At 36.9% G+C, this 8,056-nt stretch overlaps 2 annotated features.

Moving 5' to 3' along the window:
* Positions 516 to 1,024: an enhancer, noted in NCBI's record as "H3K27ac-H3K4me1 hESC enhancer chrX:116065549-116066057 (GRCh37/hg19 assembly coordinates)". NCBI's record gives its function as "activates a minimal SCP1, AML or CMV promoter by ChIP-STARR-seq in primed H9 embryonic stem cells {active_cell/tissue: H9 hESC(primed)}" and the evidence as "EXISTENCE:reporter gene assay evidence [ECO:0000049][PMID:30033119]".
* Positions 1,025 to 1,533: an enhancer, noted in NCBI's record as "H3K27ac-H3K4me1 hESC enhancer chrX:116065040-116065548 (GRCh37/hg19 assembly coordinates)". NCBI's record gives its function as "activates a minimal SCP1, AML or CMV promoter by ChIP-STARR-seq in primed H9 embryonic stem cells {active_cell/tissue: H9 hESC(primed)}" and the evidence as "EXISTENCE:reporter gene assay evidence [ECO:0000049][PMID:30033119]".

The following is an 8,056-nucleotide window of genomic DNA, read 5'->3' as shown; positions in this document are numbered from 1 at the left end:
ATGCCTGCAGTCCCAGGTACTCAGGGGGCTAAGGTGGGAGGATCACCCATGCCTGTAAGATGGAGGCTGTGGTGAGCCAAGATCACAACACGCCACTTCAGCCTGAGTGACAAAGTGAGACACTGTCTCAAAAAAAAAAAAAAAAAAAAAAGCACCTTGGGAAAGCTGACCTCATACATTGTCTACACAGTCCCCATATACGTTCCTGACCTGTGGTAAGTAAAGAATGTTACTTTCTGACAGGCCCAGGAGCCCCAAGTTTTCTTGGGCCCTCAAGGTGAGGAATTTACCCAATTAATATGGGTTTTTGCAGGCACAGGCTAAGCTTAAGGTATTAAAGTTGAACCTGAGATTCCTTATGAAATGAAGTTCTAGTAAAGCCAGTTTAAAGAAAAAAGGAGGGACATATGTAGCAAATAATTATTCTTGCTGACTTCATGAAAATACTCTGGCCAAGTATAATAAGACTAAAACTCATTTTGCAAATGAATTTGTCCTATAATTTGATTTTAGTGAAAACGGAACTGGAGAGAGAGAAATTACATTTCAAAATAAACTATAATGCACCTGCTGTTAGATTCTCCTTTTGCCTAATGTTTTTGAATGTTTATTATTTTCTACAGTTTAGACTGAATTCTAAATTTGTTCCTGGCTACAAGTCTCCAAAATAATGTTTTCAGTTTTTTTTCTTTCTTTATTTTTATTTTTTCCTCATTTTTTCTCATTTGAAATCACTGAAAACTAAGCTGTGTTTTCTTAAAGCTCTGTGAACTGAAGCCAGACAACTTAAACTTCAGAAGAAAATAACATCAACCTTTTTACATACAAAAGCCACTTCTATACTTGTGAGGCAGGAAAATAGTTTCTGGAGGAAGTAAGCCTTATGTTTTGGATTTATTTTTCTCCTTTTCCTTTCTGCTCCATACAAGGGAATTAATCTCTCTCTCTCTCTCCTCTTTCTCTCTCTCTCTCTCTCTCACTCTCTTCCTTTCCAACTAAGTACCCTTGGTGGGCAGTGCCTAAAGATGGAGGCAACTGCAGGTTTCTGGCTATGGCCAGTGAAGCTAAGGAGTTTCCATGCTGAGGCACCTAACAACCGCTGCTTGATTTGCTTAAGGGAACAGGATCTTTTTCCCTTTTTTTTCTTTCTTCATTTTTCAGTCCTTTCGCAGCTCCTTTCTATCAGCCTCTTCTGAATTGAGGGCAACCGGCTTGGGGTTACTCTCCAGTATTATCTGAAGGCCTCGGAGGAGTGAATGGGGATAACTGCCCTGCCAGGAAGGGAGAAGAACTCTATTTTATCTTTTCCAGTTGTGGTCCCTGGTCCCTACATGTGGCTTAGCTCAAAGCAAACTCACACTTGTTTCAGATGATTCTCTCCTTTGGTGCTGTTTGGCCCCAGTGCTCTTTGGAGTCTGAGGAAGTTTGGCCTTTAAAAATCAAACTGCCATGGAAACTGCTTTACCTGAAGTTTTGGTTCACAGACTTCATTGGATTATCTGTTGGGGCAAACAAAGTAAAACTGGCAAGCTTGTATTGCTATCTCATGGATAAGTTTCCAAGCTATTGGATCTTCATTTATGTGTTTGCATACATGTCTGGATGTATTTATTTGTATGTACACTTATTGTCATATATTGTGTCTACTAAAATTGGCAAATAAGTAAAATAGCACTTATAAATTGAGTAAATAAGTCTAAGCAATTTTCAAGTTCACATGACTTAAGTATAACTTTACTGAACAAGCTAGCAAGAGGAGGTGTCAGCTGGGCATCGTGGGTCCAGTAGGGGCTCAGAAAGCTGTGAAACTCACTCATTTCCTGCATCAGGACTTACTTTGGTCCTGGATGAATAATATTAAAGATATATGCTTAAACTATTCCTAACATCAGAATTTGTGCATGTGTTTTCTTCCCCAAGAAAGCTGTAAACAGCGAAAATTTTGTTGTAAGCTTCCCTGTGTCCTCTCTCCCTCTCTCCCTTCCCGCCCCCCGCCCGAAACTGAAAGGAATGTTAAAAGCCCATTTTTTCTGTGACCAGCAGACCTTATCTATGCTCCCAATTCCAATTCATTGTAAACACAATCTGTAAAATCCTGTGAAATCCTGTCTCCTTTGCCATGCCGCTGCAGGGTTATAAAGTAGATAAACCTTAAGTTACAATTCCAGTTTTCCTCAAGATCTGAGACATGTTAATTGCCTTTGTTTCTCAGTCTGGTAACATCTTCCCACCACGTGTATTTCCCACCTTAAAGAGTTTAAAAGGTGATAAAAAAATCTAACATTGGCTACCCTCTCGGGACCCCTTCCACACTGTGGAAGCTTTGTACTGTCACTCTGTTCAATAAAGCCTACAGCTTTTTTTCTCTGGGTCCGATCCGTGTGTCTCTCTCACCACGGGCTGCCGCCCCACCAAATCTTTGGTGTGGCTAAGGCAAGCACCTTTGGCGTTACACTAGCTTTAAAATTATTAGTAGAATAAAAATAGAAATGCCTTCAGAATTGTCAGCATACATTTTTGTCTGGATTTTATGTTTGTCTTTGATATATATTTTGAGATGTCAGTGTTTGCCATAGAAGGTTATGAAATTATAATCACAGCCAAAACAAAATGATCTTGGTTTGCATGCTTTCTTTTGACAAATGAAAGCAATTATGAAAGGAAAATATATTGGGCTGCCCACAAAATCACTAAACTGAAGGGAAAATTAAAGCTGGGAATGCTTAAGGCAAACCTGCCTCCCATTCTATTCAAAGTTATCCCCCTGCTCAGTGAGATAAATGCATATCTGATTGCTTCCTTTGGAAAGGCTAATCAGAGGCTCAAAAGAATGTAACCATTTGTCTCCCACCTACCTGTGACCTGGAAACCCCCAAGCCACCCCTCACACTTGAGTTGTCCCACCTTTCCAGACCAAACCAATGTTTATTTTAGGTATGTTAAATAATGTCTCATGCCTCCCTTGTTAAAAGTAAAAAAATAAGTACAGTAAATATAATAAATGGTTTAGGTAAACTTCTTGTGTAAATTAAAATCTTAAAGTTATTTTTAATGCTCATTGAATATCTGGGTCATTTCCAATTAAAAAGAGGTTGTAGTGTGGGAAAATAGGTTTCAAAAATTGTGGGATTGTTCTTATTTATAAATGCCAATATCTGATAGTTCAGGATTTCTAGTTTTTTAGGGTTTCACTAACATTTTAGGTTACTAAGATAAGAATTCTAGATAACGTGTAATTCTGAATATAAAATGTGCCAGAAAGGGTTATGTTATTAGTGAGAAAGATAATAATTTTGTCTAATTCAGAAGTTATCAGAAAGTTAGTTTAAATTACAGATTTAATGATGTTATTTATAAAACAATGTAGTAAAAAAAACATTAAGTAGGGGAGAAAGATGTGGAAAACTTTAGATAATAAAATATTCTTTAAAACCTGATAGAGAATTGGAGACATTTCACTAATTAACATTTTCTTAGTTTAAGCTCCTAGTTTTAATTAAAGTAAAATAAGAAGTATTTAATGAAATACATCAGCAATTTGGCAACTTAAAAAAAATAGTCAAGGCTCTTATTTGGTTCTGTGAACAGTTATTTTGCTTCCTATGCATTTCTAGCAAGTCATTATTTGTTCAATTTATCTGGAATTCCTAAGTTACCTTTATTAGGCCCACAGGAATTGATGGAGCACACTAGCCTTTTAACCTTAAACTTTTTGGATTTTAGGCTTCTTGATACTTTAATTGTGTTAAGTATGCATTCATAAATAGAAATTGAGTCGTATTTCTCTCTTTGCCTAATTTCTCCAAAATTCATGATCTATGTGTGAATATTCTTATGTGTTTGCATACAGTCGAGCAGGGTAGATAGGGCTGCTCAGGAAGAGAGAACCCAGAAACCTGACATACTGGCAAAAGGGTAAGAATTTCTTACCAAACTCTGACCTCTTTCTTTCTGTGCAAACTAGTTAAATGAAAGGTAGAAGTCACTGTTTATCTGTTCTGTAAAGTTTTAATTAATACCAAAGAGCTTCAATTAATTGCTTTAATAATAATAAGAACTTAAATCAAATATTTTGTCAGAGAAGTAAAAAGGACAATGCCTTTTATTTAGTTCATGTAACTTGAGTAATCTTTGGAAAATAAGGATGGTTTTAAAGATTATTGGTAAAATGAAAATGTCTTCAAAACGTAAACATGTGGTTTAAATTATGTTCAAATATTAGGTTTGCTAAATGCCTTAAGGTCATAAGCTGCTTCTTTGGCTTTTGAAAATTGTTTAACTTGCCTGCTTTACAACTAGGTAAGACCTGGGGACATGTGGAGTTGGCCACACCCTTAGCTATGCTGAAAATAGTTAAACCTTATATGTAATTAACATAACTTACCAGGTTTTACATTACTAAGAGTACATGCAAGGTGTGTAAAAACATAGAATGTGTGTTTTTTTTAAAAGGGTTATAAAAAGGCATGAAAATGTAAGTTCTTGCCTAGGGTTAAAGGATTACTTTAAGTTAGATAAAATAGAGCTAAAAGTTTGAACAAATGGTGGAAAGTTTCTAAAAATTAATCTTGCAAAATAAATTCTTTGTGTGAACATATTGACTAAAAACGGTATTATATGGTTTTTCTGTAAATTGTGTATTAAAATAAAAGCACAACAAGGTTTTCTTAATACACTAATCTGCTCTTTGGCAAAATCCATAAAGGGTTATAACAGGATTTTCCTTCTTTAAGATTTCTGAGTTATCATTTTGGCAAAATAAATAGTTTATGGTAATCTGGAATTCTATTTCATAATATCAAGTGTTGTAAACTCTGAACATATTTAACAGCCTTCCCCAAATCAAACTTTAGTTTCAAAATTATCTTTCCTGATGCTTGGCTTTTTGGATTAATCAGCAGAGCACCCCTGAAACATCCAGAAAATAGGTAAACACGATTATTTGAAATCTTTAGGTACATAGGATTGACAAAATGATGTTCAATCTTCTTTAGGTTATATTATATGCTATCAATCATAATTATGGTTATGACATTAGTTATTGTAAGCTACAGTAATAACTAAATTTCCTTTTATAAAGCTACTAATTCAAGTGAGACAAAAATTAAATACCAAGAAAACAATTTGTCAAATAACCCTTCAGTTATTCACCTAATTTGGAAAAATAACTGATATTCAAGAGGCTATAACTCAAATGTTAATTAAGCATGGACTCATGGAGAACCAGGATGGCCACATTGTCCTTCCTGAGTCCTTAAAGCTTTCATTATTAAAAGTTTTCATTCCATGCCTCATCATGGAAAAAAAATGATCTAAACTGAATACATTGTTGTGGTGGCTTACAAATTACTAAAATAGTTTACAATCAATGTTTTGCTCCATACTCCTGGGAAAATAGTTAAAGCTTCAGGTACATTTGGTCACCTATTGGGCCACCTAGTGGGCCACTTAAACATTTTATAAAGTAATTTCATTCAATTGTTATTTTCCATGCATGTTTTCTGGTTGTATAAAAGCTTTTCCATGCAAGAGGGCTGATGTTATAACAATAGATTATTATGCTACAGTGTATTTTCACCAGGTAAATGAAGTTTTTTATGGTTTGGATCTTTGGAGAACATCAGAAAAAGACTGTCCTTGCCATCCACACTCCAACAAAACTTCGGGACCTTGAACTTTGGATTCATAATCTCACAACTGAGAAGGGTACCTCCACACTCCTGGAACTGTATACCCATTGGAACACATAAGGTAAAACTAACCAGGGAATTTACTCGCCAGAAGAAATGGCATCCTTGATGTAAACAGCTTTTTCCAAGTTCCCAGATTAAAACTTCTACTATTATGAAACTATTATCTTTGAATATTTTCCCTTGCTTATGCCTCTATGAACAATAGAAGTGGGAAAGGGGTCCGTTATGTGCACTTATGGGGTATACTTTTATTTGTAAAGAAGTTTGCAGCCAGCTTTATACATGGAAAAACTTATACTTTGACAGATAAAATATGAAGGCCCAATGTAGATAAGAAACTTTATTGGTATATACATTGCCTCATAATTAGTCAGAAACAGAACATTAATTCACTCCTATTAAGCCACATCATGGGTTAAAGAGAACATTGCCAGGAGGCCTTTGCTCTTCTACAAGAGCATCATTTGTTAGGTCCTTTTTCCATGGTTTGAAGTAAAAGAAGTTGTGATTAGAAATGTATCCCCCATGATAGGCTCTATAGCAGATTCTACTGTAAAGGCTACAGTTACACAACAGACTTTAAATTCTCTTGTGAAAGTTATGATAGAATTGTCTGAACAGAGAAGTAGCTGTGCAACTGCTGGCTCTTGTGGCCTATGAAGAAATACATCAAATAAAGATTGTAGAGATTCAGTGGTAGGGGGTTAATGAAGAGATTGCGTAGTCAAATGAACAGACTCTTTATCTAGCTCATTCTTTGATCTAATTGATTTTAGGAGTTTGGATTATGGGAACCTTGTGTAAGAAACATACTCTGAAGTCTTGGTATTATCTTCCCAATAGTCATAATAATTGTTTACCTGGTGCACTGCATTCTCTCACAGGTTTAAATGCTTGCATGCAGCCATCTCTAAGATGTCAAATTGTCTCTCTTCAACTGGAATGGCAAGAACTAAAAGAAGTGTGCAACCATGAGGACACCATAACCTATGAATGGCATGCCGAGACCAGAAACCCAAAATGATGGTAACTGAGAGTGACGCTAAGGCCTGATTTTTGGTCACACTCTTACCTAAGTGGGAACTTGACCAAAAAGAGGGAATTTTTAAAAACAAAATTATGGGAGGCCATTGTTTTGGACTAAGCTCATGCACTAGGCCCCAACAGACCAAACCAAAACAAATGAAGTCACTTGTGCTGAGAATTTAAGGAACACATACATTCTAGAACAGAGAAGGTTTTGTTTTTCTCTCCTGCAAACTTCTATAACAAACATTCCTGAGAGCATAGGTATCCAACCCCTGATGTTCCCATTAAATCTTTTAACCAAATTCATTTCCTCTCACCTAGAAATCACCAAGCTTCAGATAATTATGCAACAAAGGTTCCAGCCAGTTCCAAGTGAAAACACCACCCCTCGGCATCCAGAAGCTACCCTGCCTTCACTAGAAAGAGCAGGGCAAGAGTTCCATGATCTCTAATAGGTATGTGTCAGGCCTCTGAGCCCACGCTAAGTCATCATATCCCTTGTGACCTGCACAAATACATCCAGATGGCCTGAAGCAAGTGAAGAATCACAAAAGAAGTGAAAATGGCTGGTTCCCGCCTTAACTTGGTGACATTTCACCATTGTGATTTGTTCCTGCCCCACCTTAACTGAGCAACTAACCTTGTGAAATTCCTTATCCTGGCTCAGAAGCTCCCCCACTGTGCACCCTGTGACCCCCACCCCTGCCTGCAGGAGAAAAACCCCCTTTGACTGTAATTTTCCACTACCCACCCAAAGCCTATAAAATGGCCACAACCCTATCTCCCTTTACTGACACTCTTTTCATACTCATCCCACCTGCACCGAGGTGATTAAAAAGCTTTATTGCTCACCCAAAGCCTGTTTCGTGGTCTCTTCACAGGGACATGTGTGACAGTAGGGACTACGCCCCAAGCCAGGATGAAGCAGGTACAGAAGAAAGACCATAGGTTCCTCTGTCTCCCATAAAGATTTATGGGGATCACATCTCTCACTGGGGGAATAAAGCAAGAAAATAGGGTCTGGAGGCAGGGAACATAAGGCTAATTTACACTTCATCTATGACAGAAAATATCCTCTTCATAGGGTGTATGCTGAGTAAATAATTTTGTAACTTTACTTCTCCCTTTTTGTTTATATAGGGTGTTCACCAAGTAACCAATAGAATCCTCTAGTGGTTATTTAAACCCTGCCAAATTCCATAATTGGGCCCTTGAGCCCCTAGGCTTGGGCCCACTCCAACACTGTGGAGTGTACTTTCATTTTCAATAAATCTCTGCGTTTGTTGCTTCATTCTTTCCTTGTTTTGTTTGTGTGTTTTGTCCAATTCTTTGTT

Source organism: Homo sapiens, chromosome X, assembly GCF_000001405.40.
Source record: "Homo sapiens chromosome X, GRCh38.p14 Primary Assembly".
In the NCBI taxonomy this organism is placed as follows: Eukaryota; Metazoa; Chordata; class Mammalia; order Primates; family Hominidae; genus Homo; species Homo sapiens.
Note: the sequence above shows the minus strand (reverse complement) of the source record. Positions and strands in the feature narration are given on the sequence as shown.